At 41.1% G+C, this 18,291-nt stretch overlaps 1 protein-coding gene across 51 annotated transcripts in view; it reads left to right on the forward strand.

Moving 5' to 3' along the window:
• Nucleotides 1-18,291, forward strand: part of RGS6 (regulator of G protein signaling 6) — a 762,695-nt gene that overhangs the window by 258,250 nt on the left and 486,154 nt on the right. The gene's annotated exons all lie outside the window — the stretch shown is intronic.

The raw sequence follows: 18,291 nt of genomic DNA on the forward strand, positions 1-18,291 counted from the left end.
AAAGATGAGGTTTAGGAATATTTATGGAATAAAGAAGCAGTGTGGTCTATTGTGGGGGGAAAGGTGATTGGAGGTGGGGGAAAGGTGATTGGAGGTAAGAAAAAGGGAGGTAATTGGTGATCTGCACAGACATAGTCAAAATTCATGGCTCTTCATAGGATGTATGTTCATGAAATGGCATTGTTAGCATGATCTGAGGGTGGAGTTTTTGTCCTCTGATGTCAAAAGTCAACCAACAGACATTCATACAGGCCTAGTTGATGGGTTGGTGGTCTCAGCCAGTTTGAACTGGGTAAGAACTGACCTCAAGTTCCTATAAAACAATGTAAGCAACTGTTACCATGATGACCTATACATTAGAGATGTTACCTATGAGGAAGCTAGTGAGAGTTTAGATACTTTTAGGTATATAGGTTTTAAGATCAACTAGAAGTAAGCAACTAAAAGCAAGTGAGGCAGGTTAAGTTTGTCAGGCCTAATCAGGTTAGCCCTCGCTTTCAGAGTCATCTGCCCAAGTACAGTAAACAGATCCAGCTACTACTTAGATACTTTGAGAAGTTTAGGGTTGGGCTCTTTCTTCTTAGCTTTCCCCTTCATAGAGGAAAGTCCACATTTACTTCACATGCTAACTTGTTTGCTGTTAGTAGAAATCTGCGGGAAGTTTGCCAGAGAAGGGTAGCCTTTGGGGATTGGCCAACCAGCTAGCAGGGACCTCTGCTGTGAGTGGCCCATGCTGTCTGGGCAGCTCTGTTAGGTAAAGGAGAAAGCCATTTGGCTTGTGTAGACTGCAGCTCTGCAGGAACCTCTCCCCACCATCTCTAGCCACCACCTCCAGAGTACAGTAAATTGTAGACTTAGATTTGCTGTTTCCAGCATAGATGTCTTACACTTTCTAGAGGGTTCCCTCTGCTCACATAGAGCCGTTGGTTAAGTGGTGGTGCTCATTTTCCATGCCCTGCTGGCTAGTCCTTGGACATTGTGAGCATTTTTGTCTCCAATGCCACTGAATTCCTTAAGGCCTTTTGGGTGGGTGCTAAATATTTAGGCAACTCTTACTAAGAAAATAGAAAACACTTGAGTTCTCTGTTTTGCATGTGGCTATCTTTACATCAGAGCCTTGGAAGTGGTCAACTGTATGTAGCCAATTTCATGAGGCTGTTTTAACTGGGAGGACATTGTCACCTGGCTGGGCTTATACAGCTGAGTCAATAAGGAAAACGCAGCTTTTGTTGGCTTGCTTACCTTTTAAATCAGTAAGTAATGCACAAAATGGGTCCCTCACCACCACTACTTCCTTTAAACCTCATCCCCAACTCCACATCCCATCATCATCTCTCATCTCATCTCGCAGCTTTAGCTGATCCCATGGTGGGGAACTGGGGAGGCATGAGGTTGGGGGTATATGTGTGTATCATATATTACTTGGGAGAAAAAAAATTGTTTTAGGTTTTATTACAAAGCACCCAAGTTAAAAGAGCAGTGTTAAAATTGTCTTATCAAAATATCCCGTACCATTGCATTTTCCTGTTTAAAGAGACTGCCATAAACTCTAGGGGCTACCCAAGTGAGGAGACGAGATTATGATTAACAATCAAAGTGATGGGGAAAGTTATAAAAATAGGAAAAAAATATTTAGATATAAAGTCACTGACCTATGAAACCACCTTGCAAATGGTAGGCAAAAGAAGTAGTATTACTGAAAAAGTATGAATTGTTACCTTTACTCTGAAATTAGTATGTAAAGGAGCACTTTGTTTACTGCACTAAATCTTTGTCTCCAGTTTTTAAATTATGAGATTTATATTGCCTAAGTATAGACTGAATACATTTTAATATTTAATTGTTTTTTCTCAAACTATGGTTTGAAAAACAAGATAATTCTTAAGCTGGGTTTCATTACTTTGAAAACTAACAGTGTTTTCTAAGAGAACACGTTACTGATTTAAAAATGTAAAGTAATAAAAATAGTATTCACATAAAGTTTCAGTAGAGTTTTAGCACAGAACACAATTAACCAGGGCTTAAAAAAAACCATTTAATTTTGAGGCAATTGTAGTTATTTCTTGCAGTTGCAAGAAATAACACAGAGTTCTAGCGTTAGCATTTACCCTGTTCCCTCAATGGTACTATCTTGTAAAGCTATAGTACAATATCCCAACCAGAATATTGACATTTTATAGTTAAGATACAGGACAGTTCCATTAACACAAAGATCCTCTGTTACCCCTTTATAACTACAACCCCTCATTCCCATCCCTGACCCCTGGCAACTCCTAATTTGTTCTCTGTTTCTATAACTTATCACTTAAAGAATGCCACATAAATGGGATCATATAATATGTAACCTTTGAGATTTTTTTTTCCCTCAGCATAATTGCCCAAGATTCATCCAAGTTGTTGCACGTATCAAGGGCTTGTTCCTTTTTATTACTGAGTAGCGTTCTGTGGTATGGATAGACCACAGTTTAAACATTTGAATGACATCTGTGCTGTTTCCAAATTTTTGCTTATTATAAAAAAGCAAGCAGGACTTTTAAAAAACACACTTATAGAAATGCTTATGGCTGTGTCTTATTACAGAATATTTATAAGGAGAGTAAGATTAAAGAGTTAGAGTCACTTAGGATTAAAACAAATGTTATAAACTATGACAGTCCAGCTCAAAGTAGCTTGATTTCATAAATATATTCTCTTTATGGTATTTCATAAATGCCATAAATCAAAGTAGCTTGATTTCATAAATGTATTCTCTTTTGATTAAATAATCAAACTTAAGTAAATTATTGGCCAGTGTCCACAATAGAATTTGTAAATAGTTACATTGTGTTCATGTTTGCATTTCTGTTCTCAACCTGAATGACTGCTCAATATAGTACACTATATTCACTTTTATTAAGCACTGCTCTCACATCTCATTGTGTTTGTTGAACCTGGAAATGTGATAGCATTTGATTGTGTTGATTTTTTTTTTTTAGCTGCCAAGACGAATTGTTAGATGTTTTTAAAACATTATATACCCTTATGCCCTTGGTGTCTCTGATGAAGCAGATTCATTAAATAAACACTCACTTATGAATAGCAGAGCCAGCACAGTCATAGTGGATGAAGTTTATAGGTTATTGACGGACGGTAGGAAATCAGTTGAAAGATGCCCGGAAACATGTGGTTATGTTGGTAGGAAGTAGAAAACGCCTGCCTGGAGTCCTTCAGATCCCACAACGTATGCGTGTGCATCTTCTCAGGCTCCGTATTAGCCCTGGTACGCACAGAGACACACAGCGACCAGCCTATTAGTTGCCTGGCAGATGCCGTCAGTACTGGTCATTTTGTGAATGCTTTTAATATGATTCACAGAATGTCTGTAGTCAGTCACGTTTTAGCACTGACAGTAAAATGTCACCTCTTCAGCAGTTTTCTTTTAAAAAAGGTGTAAAGCCTCTTAAAAATTTTTGCTTTAAACTCCTATCGATCGTTTAGAAATCTTATTAGCTTGCTTTGGGCTTTCTTTTAGAGTTGGAGAAATTAAAATTTAGAGACCAGGTTGGGCTGAGAAAACTGCGTGGAGAAGGGGAACTTGAGTTGAATCTTACTTACACCAGACAGTAGGGACACTAAAGAAGGCAATACTGCTGGAAGATAAAAGTTGACAGCTTTATGAAAGAAGGAAACAAGTGAATGAGATAATTCGGCTGAGAGCTCCCGGAAAGCAAGAATTCTTTTTCATCTGTGCCCTCAGTCCCTAGTTGGAGTACAGCCCAAAGTAAGGTTCAATAAATATTTGTTTAATGAATAAACAAATGGATGAACAAACTGAAATAAGTGTTGATATTTGTTATGAAATATGCCTTTCTCAGACTGTTCCACACACCTCACCCTGGCTGTGCCAAGTTTCTATGGCTGCACAACAAACTACTCCAACACTTAGTGGCTTATAACAGCAGATGGAGGTTCACAGGCTTCCACTGGACAGTTCTCCTTGACATCTGTTCTGCAGTCAGAAGGCAACTGGAACTGAGGTTTCCGGTGGCTCCGCTTGACTACAGGGATGTTGGGCTGTCTCCTTCTCAGGGCCTCTGCTCTTTGTGTGGCTTTTCCAGCAGAGCCGCTGAACTTCTAACATAGTGTGGCTCAGGGCTTCCAAAAAGCACAAAGGGAGAAGCTTCCAGGCCTCCCAAAGGCTAAGACCTGGAACTGTCACTGTGTTGCTCCCTCTTTTAGTTAAGCAGACAAGGGGGCCAGACCAGATTCAAAGGGAGGGAAAAGAAACCCCACCTCATGATGAGGCACCACTGTTTTCCCATCGATAACTGGTATCAACCCAGCATCCTACAGCTCAATTCAGTTCTGACACTCACCATCCCGACTTAGTACAGACCCTACAGGTTAAGGGCTCAGTCCCCTTAGACTGCCCCCACTTCAGATGCCAGCTGAAAGTGGAATATGCCCAAGTTACCCACACTTCTTCCTGGCTGACTACAAATGTGGGGGTTGGGAGAACCCCCAGGTTTGGCAATTCACTAGAATGACTCACAGAACTAAGGAAAGTGCTATACTTACAATTACAGTTTATTATAAATGATACAATTGAACAACCAGCTGAGAATTTATGTAGGGTGAGGGCCAGAAGGGTCTTGAGTGCAGGAACTTCTGTCCCCATGAATGGGACATATCACTGTCCTGGTACATCATATTTTCACCAACCAGAAAGTTCCTGAACCCCATTGTTCAAGAGTGAACAATGCAGGCTTCATTGCACAGGCATGATTGAGGAAATAATTGGCCATTGATGGTTAACTCAATCTCCAGTCCCTGTCATTTCCCCAGAGGTCAGGGACAAGGTTGAAAGTTCCTCTAATTATGTATCCATGTGGCTGGCACCTTCCTGGAAACTATCTAAGGGCACACCTTGAGTCACCTTGATAGCATAAAGATACAGCTCAAAGGGGTTCATTATGAACAACAAAAGATGTTCCTGTCACTCAGGAATTTCAAATGGTTTTTGAAGCTCTGTGCCTCGGGAACTAGGGACAAAGACAAAATAGATTTTGCTGTTCTATCACAGGGTTGATGACAAAGAATGTGTGGCCATCTTTAATCTGTGACACTGGTCCTCTGCAGACTCAAGCAAAATAGATGAAATTTTACAAAGGACTGTTTTCCTATCATTTGCTTAGAAAATTACCCTACATGTTTATCCCACTTTCCCCTAGAGCAGGTTTCTGGAAAGCTAATGCTATGTCTTACGTATACATAAACGGATGAATGAGACAAAGTTTGTTGCATTGGTATGTGTGTTGGGGGGATAGGAGGGTGATGGGAGAGCCTCCTGGAATAGTCTTAGAGTTGGACACTGTTTCCCCTTGTGACTCCTTTTGCAGCTACTGCCTTGATCCCCTCTTGTGCCTGCTAGGCTCTGCCTTGGGGAAAGCTCAACTCTTCTGTTTCCCTACACTTGACCGACTGTCTCCATCGTTGCCTTGCCCATCTTGTGTTGTGTCCACCCAAACCTGACTCAGATCTACTAGTTTTCATCTTTCGCTCACGGACTATTCTCTTGAGCCAGATTCCTAGTCCCCTAACTCAATCATCTTATTCTGGCTTCTCCAGTGTTCTTTCAACCCAATCTTGCTAAAAAGCTATTTTAATGCCCGACTGTGGATTTTTGGCATCGTTATCTCAGCAGGCCTAGCTTGGAGGTTCCTCTGGGATTTCCTGCTGGAGTCTTCTTTTTAGGATTTCCCAGTCTACTTGGGATACTTAAGGAAAATTATCACCTTGTCTTAGGAAGAATCTTATTATCTCAAATCAAATATTTAAAATTGCAATGCTCCCTTATCTGGAATTTTATTTTGTAAGGGACATTTTCTGATAAGCTGCCAATGACAGCCTATGATATGAAATTCTGTATGTCCCTTTGGGTTCAACAGTAACCTTAATGGGATAGTTTTGTCTCCCTGTCTCACCTCAGGTAACAGAAATTGTCAAGTGCAAAGAAACTTTTGTATCCTTCCCACATCCAGAGCTAGCTTGGAGTTTGACCTTAGGCAACAACCAACTAACTGTGCCTTGAAGATAACTCTCTGGGGAGTTAATTAGGATAGACTGAATAATTCAAGGGGCAGTTTTGGTGAATTAAATTGGGAAAAGATTTTCGAGTGTTAAAGGTTGAAGCATTCCCTTCCTATTATTTCAGCTCTTACCTCTACTTTCTCAATATACATTAAAGAAAAGCAAATCTGTTCAATAGATTTGAGATAATCTATTAATTTAGAATGCTTACTAGAAGCCCACCATGGGGCTAGGCTCCACAAAGTTTGAATTGTGGTTATACTGTCGGTTGTTTTTTAAAAATGTACAGCAAAATCCTAGGCGATCTTCATGAACTACTCCAGAGGCCACCATCCTAGAAATCTAAACTCAGCTCTCCTTTAAGATTAGTCATTTTCTTATCCAAACACCACAGAGCTTTTTACATAGCTTTATTACAGTGCTTCAGATATTGTCTTGTAATTATTTGTTTCTCAACCTGTCTTACCTATTGGACCTGATTAATTTAGAGGTGGGAGGCTGCTGGCTTCATTTCCTTATCCAATCATTTAAATTAAGCATCTGACAGGTACCAGGCACTATATTTGGTTCTAGTGTTCCAAAGGAAGTAGACAATCCTCATTTTGTATGTATTCTTCTTCTTCTTCTTTTTTTTTTTTTTTTAGGTGGAGTCTCACTCTGTTGCCCAGGCTGGAGCGCAGTGACATGATCTCGGCTCACTGAAACCTCCACCTCCTGGGTTCAGGTGATTCTCCTTGAACTCGGCCTCCCACGTAGCTGGGACTACAGGCATACGCCACCATGCCCGGCTAGCTTTTCTATTTTTAGTAGAGACAGGGTTTCACCATGTTGGCCAGGCCAGTCTCAAACTCCTGACCTCAAGTGATCCACCCACCTTGGCCTCCCAAAGTGCTGGGATTACACACATGAGCCACCACGCCTGGCCCCATTTTATATACATGCTGTATGTTTGTTGCATGTGTCAATCATTTTGAAGTTGCATTTCCACTTCACACACTCTTTTTTTTTAAACGGATAATTAGGAAATTCAGCCATTTTGAAGTTACTTGACTCTGGTTATGGTTGTTTTCTAAGCTCTGTTAACACACCTGGTCAAAAGTTTGGAAGTCAGACATGTTTTGTTTGTCGTTTTTTTTTTTTTTTCTCTGTCAGACATGGCCTGCACCATAAGCTTCTGAAAAACTCTTTGAGGCCAGAGACTTGGCTTCATTGATCTTAGTATCTTTGGCAATGTTTTGTTCGTAGGGAAGATTCAGTAAAAGGACATTTGGCATCAGACTAAAGGAAATGTGTTCCATTAGATGTTTAAATCACGGTGGTTTATTTTCAAAGCCATAGTTTTGTAGTGTTTCTTTACAACGTGATTGAATTTAAATGCACTGGGATGACTTCCTCCAAGAAGAAGGAAACTGGGGGGCCGAGAAGATGTGGCAAAAGCAGAAACATGTCCATCTCTCATTGGGTAGGGACATCATTCATTTATTTGTTCCCGTATCATTTTGCAGATTCCTTTTCAACCTGTACACTGGCTGTCTTTCTCTCATCCCCAAGTTTCAAGATCTCTGGTGGTATTTCTTTTCCATATCCTTTACCTACCTTGCCTTGCTCCTCCACATTCCCAATTCCTTCAATTTTTTTTTCCTCTCTAATCTGCTGTTTTATGGATGTCAAGATATACTCTAGTTACTCAGCTCTTACCTTAGAATTGAGACTTCAGAGTTTCCCACTAAGTTCCCTTTGCGATACACAGGAAAGGGAACATTAAGAGGAGCACACTGAGACTTTAAGCAGGAAAATCGGTAAACGCTGACCATACTGAACAATTAAGTCTACTATTACTTACTGGTTTTCTTCTTCAGAGCATAAACCGGGCTTCCCTTTCCCCAGACTTGGCTACTGTCCCCTGGCTTGCAATAACCCCTGGCTCCTCAAAACTCTATGCCTTATACATATGCCTTTCCAAGTACTCTTGCCATTTGGAGGATGGGAAGATACTATGTCAGAGAATCCCAGGATCTGATTGGATGGATATAATTGTGACTGCCTCTTCCTCCACTGTCAGGTAAGTCTCTGAATGTGCCTGGCTGCTCTGCTTTCTCTGAGTGCCTTCTGCCATGAGCCAAGCTTTTCTGTCACCATAAGCAATCCACTCATCTCTTCAAGCAGGGACACGCATCTACGTGATTGGTGGCCAGATCAAATTTCTGCCTTCTAGAAGGCATCTTTCATATCCAGTCTTTCACCCTTACCAGTAATGTTATGGTCTAGACTTCATTGACATGGTTCCTCCATGGAAGATCATAATACTGTTTCCCAACCCAGACATAGCATCTTTCTCAACACAGAACTCTAGGCAACTGCTTTCATTGATTGGAGTTGTCATTCAAATTCAAAATGAAGCCTACTTGGCATCCCTAGCAGCTAGTCTTCTCTTGCCTAGATCATTCCTCTTCATTTATTTCTAGCCACTTGCCTCAACCCCCTCGAGTTTAACCATTGCCAGTTTTGATTGGAAAACCTATTTATTGAACATCTCTGGTGATTTTTCTGCTGTACCCAGTTACCTCTGAATGTGTTGCCCATCTCTGGAAGAAGAGGTATTCCTATATACACACCCCACATTCACTGAGGGCTTCTCTGTGGTTAGTTCATAACTCTCTTTCATATGTGGTAGCCAATGCTCCATTAATTAGGAATGATGTTGACCATTCTTTCTTCTAAAGTCTGCACATATTCCTTCTGGAGTTGTCTGTCATGATAGTGTCACACTTCAACAATGTTGAGGCTCCTGGTAAATTCTACAGAAACATTTCCATTTTCCTTTGTTTTATGTACAGAAATATAGTTATTAATTAGGTCCTTGGGCACAAAAATGGAGGCAGGCATGTGCCATTTAACATGTGTGTTAGGGTTCTCCAGAGAAACAGAGCTAATAGGAGAGAGAAAGAGAGATAGACAGATAAGAGGAGACTTATTATGGGAATTGGCTCATGTGATGATGAAAGCTGAGAAACTCCATAATCTGCAGTCTGCAAGCTGGAGAACCAGAAGAGCTGGTGGTTTAACTCAGTCTGAAGGCCTGAGAACCAGGGGAGTTGATGGTGTAACTAACTCCCAAGAACCAGGAGCTCCAATATCCCAGGGGAGGAGGAGGTGGATGTCCTTGCTCAAGAAGAGAGAGAGTGAATTCCCCCTTTCCCCATCTTTTTGTCATATTCACCTTTTCATTGTATTCAGGCAGGCCCTCAACAGATTGGGTGGTGTCCGCCCACATTGGTGAGGGCAGATGTACTTGACTCAGTCTACCAATTCAAATGCCAGTTTCTTCTGAATACACCCTGAAAGACTCATCCAGAAATAAAGTTTTAATAGACATTTGGGTATCCCTTAACCCAGTTCAACTGACACATAAAATTAACCATCACAATATGCTTCACATATGTTTTTAAAATAGCTTAATTTTTTGTCTATAAGTCTTGTACATGGGTAGTGGTTGAGTTAGTATCTTATCCCTTGAGTTTGCCAACCCCTTGGATAGGGTCAGTGTCTTGGGTTCTCTGAATGGCATTTAACACATGGTCACAAAAACCTTGGTCTGAAGAACTTTATAATGATAAAGTTCAAGGTACTTTGGTGTCTTGAGGAACTCCCTGGACTGTGAGGCAGAGACTCGCTTGGCTCTAGTCCTGGTGCTGGATCTAACTGGCTGCCATTGTGGGGCTCCCCTAAAGATAAAGGAACTCAGTTTCCTCATCTGTGAAATGTGAGGATGGAATTCATCACCATGTCCCCTCCCAGCTCTAAACTTCTCTGAGTCTTGTTTTTCCCTGCTCTGTATCCTCCACTTTCTGGCATGTTTTTTATATTTACTATTATAAATGTGTCCCTATTTTATAAGTTGTTACAGCACGAGAGAGAGGTAAGGAATAGTTAACAAAATTGTATTCTGAGTAGCCTAATATTCTTTTTTTTTTCCTGCTAAACTTCTTTTTCCTCACCTTCTCCTAACATTTTTGTGGGGGTGGGTGGACTGGTGGGTGACTGTAGTGATATTGATATTCAGAGAGGAGTGAAAAATGCAAAATTGCAAGGTTAACAACAGATGGTTATATGGTGCCATTTTAGGAGTGTTATTAAAAGAACAAATCTATTTTCCTGAATAGTAGGATGTCTTAAGTGTTTAGGCTTAAATCTACTGTTGAAATAGAAAAAGAGGAGGAAGAGGAGGAGGAGAGGAGGAGGGGAAGGAGGAGGAGGGGGAGGAAAAGTCAAGGAAACACTTAGAACATTTTTGCATGATCTCAATTTTCTTCTTGTTCCAAGGTTTTTAATTTGGACAGTGGTATGTGCTTCAGATTGAATGCAAGGAAATTTGTTGCACCATTTGCCTGACAGTTATCATTTTCCTTGACGAAAAGTTTTTCTGAATCTTGCTTTGCTGGAGCTACCTCTTCCCTTGCCCTGAATAACCTCACTTGCTTAAGTCATCGATGCAGTGGACTGACACCACCTTTCTCTTAAGGAATTACCCTGTTCTCTGGGTAGGTCTAATTTACACTCCCACTATCACCCAAAGAAGAGACACTCTCTATATTGATAACTAGAAAGAAGGAACTGAGACTGTTGTCCAAGGACATCTTATCTTTAGCATAGAGCGAATATGTGGTTTATGGTAGGTGTTCAACAAACTTAAAAAAAAAAACTTGTATTAGTCTGCTCTCATGCTGCTGAATAAAGACATATCGAAGACTGGGTAATTTAAAAGGAAAGAGGTTTAATGGATTCACAGTTCCACATGGCTGGGGAGGCCTCACAGTCATGACAGAAGGCAAAAGTCACGTCTTATATGGCAGCAGGCAAGAGAGAATGAGAGCCAAGTAAAAGGAGAAACCCCTTATAAAACCGTAAGATTTCACGAGACTTACTCATTTCCATGAGAACAGTATTGGGGAAATCACTCCCCATGACTCAGTTACCTCCCACTGGGTCCCTCCCACAAGACGTGGGAATTATGAGAGCTACAATTCAAGATGAGATTTGGGTAGGGACACAGCCAAACCATATCAAAACTTAATCAAAAATAATTGAAATGTCAGGAAATAGAGAAACTTATTGAGCTTTTTTAGGGAAGTGGTCTTTGAACCTGTTTTGCTCTGCCCACTGGAGTATGCTGTCCATCAAATTGTTAGTTCAGTGAATTATGGTACAAACACTCAGTTACATTAATATGACTATTTTCTTGTATGCTAATTTGAGAACCTACTCCCTGGAGATATGTTATCCCATGTAATTTCCAAGTGAAATGGAGAGAGGATGCCTTAGACTGTTACTTCTCATGTTTTTCATTCCAATCTTCCTCAGTGCCCCTCTCTATAATCCCAATCCTATACATTTTTAAACAAAGGAAAGCCACTCAGATCACAGTAGCTCATGGACATTGGTGAGAAACGTGAGGAAATGTAGAGGATCCCCAAATTCTCACACATAAACTAAGGTGCAGCCACTGGGTATCAAGCAAGGTTTCCTCACTGGTTTAATGACTCCAGTTTTCCACATTGACATTTGTGCTGGGAGCCTTACATATATGATTTTGTAAAACCCTTTCTGCAGCCCTTCATGGTAGGTAGCAGAATATTTAACCCTATTGTAAGAGACAGGAGAAACCAAACTGCTTTTTCTATTCTCACCCGCCATTCTACACAGTTCTCCAGCAGAATCCCACTGGATGTCCTATAGTTTGGCCCGGTTCTAACACTGTCTACCTGGAGATAGCCTCAGATCTCACAGGTAAAGGGCTCAGCCCCACAAGACTGCCCTTCACTTAAAATGCCAATCGCAAGTCCCAGATTGTGGTCTGTACTTCTGAGCAACTGGCCATAAATTGGGGGTTCCCCCAGGCCCTTTGTCATGTTTGATTAATTTGCTAGAGTGGCTCACAGAACTCAGGGAAATGCTTTACTTGCTACTGCCCATTTATCACAAAGGATTTTTTAAAGATACAAGTGGACAGCCAGATGAAGAGATAGATGCATAGAACATGGTTTGGAAGCATCCTGAGTGCAGGAGCTTCTGTCCCCATGGAATTGGGGAACACTACCCTTTGGGCACATGGATGACATGCATGTGTTTTTGTTCACAAACTGAGAAGCTCTCTGAACCCAGTCCTTTTGGGTTTTTATGGAGGCTTCATCACATAGGCACAATTGTTTAAATCATTTACATAAATATGATTGATCAACTCTTCCCTCTCAGATGTTGAAGGTGGGACTGAGAGTCCCAGCCCTCTAATCATATGGTTGGTTCCCCTGGCAACCAACCCCCATCCTGAGGCTATCCAGGAGCCCCCAGCCACAAGTCACCCTAATACTATACAAAAGGACGCTTATTTTGGAGATTCCAAGGGTTTTAGGAGTTGTGTGCCAGGGATGAAGACCAAATATATCTTATTATAAATCACAATATCACACCTATTATAAAGCACTACATATAAAGTTTACACTCCAAGAATAAAAGATACAAATATGGAATCTTCAAATGCCAAGGGCCTACTGGATACTGTGAATGACAATATAAGCTACATCACCTGTTATTGAAAACCAGAATGCAAGTGTAAACTTGACCAGGGAACCTGCGGAGATGGAGAAGTTTGACACCTCTCCAGCAGCATCATAGAAATGAACATCATGAGCGCATTGAGGGGGAGGGTTAATGTCTTCATCGTTCTTCCTCTGGTAGAATTATATTTGCATCCTTCCTGGTGGAAACTTGATACTTCACTGTAGTGCACCTGTACCTGTTTTTTTTTTTTTTTTTTTTTTTTTACTTTCTTGGAGGGAGAGTTCTTCTATCTCAGAAGATAGAAGAAATAGCTGGAAACTCTATATTCCTGTGCCCTAGCACAGGAGACCAGGGGTCTCCAACTGGTCTGTGGCCTTTTAGGAACTGGACCACACAGCAGGAGGTGAGCAGTGGGCGAGTAAGCAAAGCTTCATCTGTATTTACAGTGACTCCCCATCACTCATATTTCCACCTGAGTTCTGCGTCCTATCAGATCAGCAGCAGCATTAGATTCTCATTGGAGCACAAGCCCTGTTGTGAACTGCATATGTGAGGAATCTAGGATGTGTGCTCCTTATGAGAATCTAATGCCTGATGATCTGTCACTGTCTCCCATCACCCCCAGATGGGACTGTCTACAGATGGGACTGTCTAGTTGCAGAAAAACAAGCTCAGGGCTACCACCGATTTGATACTATGGTGAGTATGTAATGATAATAAAGCGTACAATAAATGTAATGTATTTGAATCAGCCCAAAGTCACCCCCACCGACCCACCCAGTCCATGGAAAAATTGTCTTCCATGAAACCAGTCCCTGCTGCCAAAAAAGTTGGGGACTGTTGCCCTAGCAGGTAGAGCAAGGGTATTTCACTTAGGCTTGACCAATCGAATGCCTTCATTCTGGATTTTGGATCTGGGAGAAGTCTTGCAGAGACGAAGCAACATTTGAGAAGGGTTTTAAGGCTAGTTTGAGTTTAGTGTGCTGGTCCTGGCTGCCATGCATTGAGCAGATAGTTCCTGTGGTAAGACCTGCTGCCCAAGCCACCCTTGGTTTCTGCCTAGTTTTCTAACACTTCTGTCAATTCTCCATTCTTGAATAGTCTTCTAATATAGGCCTTTTCTGCTTTAGGTAGCCAGACAGAACTGTTCCTTGCAACCAGTGACTGTCTAATTCAGTCACTTAATGTTTTGTAGCTTTGTTCAGTTACTGGGCACAACCCACTTTCTGCTCAGGCGGCTTGGAGACAGCCATGGGCCATATGAATCGCTATTATTTTAACTTTCATAGTAAGAACTTGCTCCATGTGGGAAAGCATAATTATTTTGGTTTCTGAGTTTAATAAGCAGAAAGCAAAGAAGAAAAAAAATACTGTTTGCACTGAGCATTAAAATATAAGGAAGTAAAGTTGTTTATAGATAGAGTTTCAGCTAAGCACCAAAGGTTTATTTATATTTTTTGCCATTTATATTTTCTGCCTAGTTCTGCCTAGGAACCAGGGAAATCCATGGCAAGGAGAAAATAAAGCATCAAAGAGGATGAAAATGTTGAATAAAGTATTAGAACCCAGAACACTTAAATCTTTAACATCCATAGTAAGAGTCCTTCACATTACTCAGGCAGACTTTTTTTTTTTCCACCTCTTGGTATTCTGTGCCTACACTTGCATGTTTAAATAACGATTTAAAAATCACATGAGAAATGATCAGGCTTTCTTTTTCCCACTTGACTCTCAGTTATTTCAATTCTTTGAGACTTGTTAAAGAAACCGTTTAGTGTTGTAAATGCCACCAAGTCTCTACCTAGTAGAGATTAGAAATCCTCTCACCAATTCCAAGTTAAAAAGGTCCTGACATATTTTGATGGAATTGGCCCATGTTCTCATTTACCAGTGACCAGCTCATCTCCATGCTATGATGCTCCCCAGGAAATGTGCATGGTTTTTGTAGAAGGTGGCGAGAAGCTTCATGGGCACCAGCATCCACAACCCACTTCTTGAAAAACAAAATCAGATTTATATTTAGCTGACCACCTGGCAAGATCTCCTGTAGGAAGAGAAGGAACTATACCCCTATTACTATTTCAGCTTTTATTCACAAAGTCTTTATATTTGAAAAATGCTTTATAATCATTTTAATTAGTGGTTTCTCACCAAAGCCCTGGATGTGGTATTATTGGCACCATTTTCTGAGAAGACCGTGTGCCATTGAGATGGAATTGACACAAGATGTTAATGGGTTAGAAGCTGGTACTAGAATCAGAATGATAGGCCATAGGACTCAGCAAGCCATGCTATTTACTGTCATCTTAGAGGGCTAGGTAGGGTGGAGGGAAGGAGTTGATGACTGATTGTTATAAGTGAAAAGGGCAGCAGTGACCCAAAACACCATTGCAAATGTTAACAGAGGCCTGTTACAGAGTTAAAGCTGGGTTTTCCAAAACAACACATCTGAGTAAAAGCGCCCTTGGTACATTAGCCAGTATGGAGCCAGCACCTGAGATCACACTGTGTTTGCCCCTTTCTGCAATGGCTATTGGTGCTGGTTGCTTGTCTTGGCCTAAGAGTTTTCAGCTGGGCTTTTGAGCAAGCTGCATCTTGAATCTGAGGATGCGGGCAAGCCAGGCACAGAACTGTGAGGGTCCTTGCAATGGGCTGCTGGTGTTCCTGTCATTCATAAGCTTGGACTTGGTCCCCACTGTGTTTGATTTGGGAGAGGTTCTTTGACCATACAACTCTTACCGTGTAAATGTGCTACAATCCTTGTCAAGACATAGCAAACTATATTTGAACATTGTTTTACCATTTACTGTTGTGTGCATGTGGGCCATATTTTCCTAGTCAGATGGTGAGTTCTGTGAGGGCAAAGGCTGAGTCATTCTCTATTTACATTTTAAGTAGGCATCCAGAGACTTGGTTATATTCTGAGTCTGTATTATTGATCAAAGCCCTCACCTGGAGTTTCTGGGGCCATTCACTGACCCAGAATCTGGTGACATTGACACAGGGAGGGAATAACATCCAGCTACAGATGGTTAACACAGGTCTTTAGTGCCCCAATCCCCATTTTGCTGACTCATCTATGCCTCAAGAACTCCAATCTTCATGCAGATTCTGTTGCCCTTGAGTACTCAGTTCTGTCTCTTCTGCATACCTCTGTGGAGCCTTGGATCCTGTCAGACTCTTCGTGTTGCTGAAGTTCTCAGTCCTCTCTCTCAGCCGAGTGTAATAGTGCCCCAGTGGGCACTGTAGGGACAGAACTGAGTTTCTTCTTTTCTTTTAGGAGTTGATTCTCTCCGGGTAATATCTGGAGCTCTCTAAAGTTTCAGAGAGAAATACGTTCCTTATAAACCTTGTGGTTGTCATGCTGGTGACTCCTTGAGCCTGTCCTGTGCTGGACCGTGAGGAAGGACACAAGGCCATCCAGACTCCTGGACTCACAGTGATTTCTTGTCCTCCCCAAAGATGCCTTTGCCTGGTGCACTCTTTAATAGCCCATCACTTCTTGCTGGCTGTGTCCCCAGCTGAGTTCCTCCAGGATATGGCATCAACTCTGAACACATCTCTGTATATTCCCTCTTAGGACCATAAGATTCATGTTAAACTTAGTGCCAGAAATAACCTTGGGTAGCCATGTTCCTTATGGTTCCTTAGATTACATTCCTAGATTACACATTTTACATTAAAAAAAAAAAAACAAAACCCAAAGCACCTAGAACCGTGCTGGATTCTTGATAAATGCTTGTATCCATTAAATACATATTGAAGTAACTTCTACTCCAGTGACCCCTCTCTTGAGGCTTACTGTTTACCTCCTCACTTTGGGGAGCTACCCAGCCAGGACCTTCTGAGAGAGAAAAGTGGTATATTTAGTAGTCACCAGATAGTTACTGTTAACGGTGCTGAGTTCTTAAAAAAACCTGTTAATTGTACTAGCTTAAGACTAAAGTATATGTTCCTCTCCTCGTAGAGTGATGATGATGGTTTTATAAATACTGGTTGGATAGCACTGTAATTAATGGGCACACCAGCTTTTATTTTGGTAACAATGTATTCTTATACCACATTTAAGAGGTTTCTCTTTCCTGTGGTCATAAAGTGATTAAAAAAAAAAAAGAGAGGAGAGAGATGACATCCTTTTTAATAAGGCATCCCAAGCAGTCTAAGTACCTATGAATTATAAATGAAAACTTTTCAGTGATTAAAATAAATATACCAATGCAGTCCCCTTCTCTGCGTCATTGCTTCGCCAGGCCTGCATGAAAATCACTCAGAGGAAGTCCCAAGGGGCCCTGAGATCATTTGCATCTGTTCCATGTGTTTCTCTGATTTATATCAGAGTGCATCAAGGGCAGTGGCCTTCCAGCTGGTTTGGGAAGAGGGATTCTTTTATCCAGAGGAGGCATCAGCTGATGGTCAGTTAGGGCTCTGGAGTGCAGCTCCATGTAAACAACTAGCCTTTGTAGTAATGGCCATATAATATAACCTAGTCCATGTTTTGTTCCCTCAAGAACCAATTTACAACATTTAATGTTCAAGGATGGTTCCATTCCTTTCTTTGTTTACACAGGTGAGGCTTTATTTAGTAGTGGGAAGTGAAGGGCAGATGGTTTAAGGGGTTCTTAATGCTGCAGGAGAGGCCCATAAACTGAAGTATCCAAGAAAATCCATTCTAAATAAGAGGCAAACAGAGTCTCAGATGGATATAAATTAGTATTATTCTTAGGAATCCTTCCTTCCCATTTCTCAGACTTATAGCAAAGCTCTTACTGATATCAGTGGCCATTGTGCAAGTGGGTAGCAGGGAAATCACCCTCAATGACCAAATGGAAGTACATGAGGAAAAAGATGGAGAATCCTGGATAAAGAAGACAACTGGCTGGGCTCCATGGCTCACATCTATAATCCCAGCGCTTTGGGAGGCTGATGCGGGTGGATCACTTGATGTTAGGTGTTTGAGACCAGCCTGACCAACATGACAAAACCCCATCTCTACTAAAAATAAAATACGTAAATTAGTCAGGCGTGGTGGTGGGCGTCTGTAATCCCAGCTGCTCGGGAGGCTGATGCAGGAGAATCGCTTGAACCCAAGAGGCAGAGGTTGCAGTGAGCCAAGATTGCACCACTGCACTCCAGCCTGGGCAACAGAGTGAGACTCCATCTCAAAAAAAAACACAAAAAACTGTCTTTTTCTAGCCCTATTTATTTCACCCTACACTCCATTTACCTTTTATTTGTTGTTAATTAAATAACATTAATTTTTGTTGTAGGATTATACGTAAGAAACTATTGGCCTTTTGCTGATTGTGCTGGAATTTAAAAGTTGTAGGGATTGTGGGCCATTGTTCTAAAATGGCTCATTTTGCCAAACATGATTAATGGCTTTTGGGGTGCAGTTTATGTCAAGGCAAAATTAGTGGACACTTCAGCAAACTGGAATGTGGTTCTGAGCTAAGGGGATATTCACTTAGCCATTCCTAGACCTTTCTTCTATCAGAACACGTCTTTAAGGTTGAATATCCAACATTTTCAAACATTTTAGTCTTAAATTCTACCTTTAGAGTATTATTGATGGTCTGATTAGATAATGAAATAAATTTTCTCTCAGCAATGTCTGTAATAAAACATAATGCAGGAAAGATAGCATTTAATAAAATATTTGTTTAA

This window comes from Homo sapiens, chromosome 14, assembly GCF_000001405.40.
Source record: "Homo sapiens chromosome 14, GRCh38.p14 Primary Assembly".
Lineage (NCBI taxonomy): Eukaryota > Metazoa > Chordata > Mammalia > Primates > Hominidae > Homo > Homo sapiens.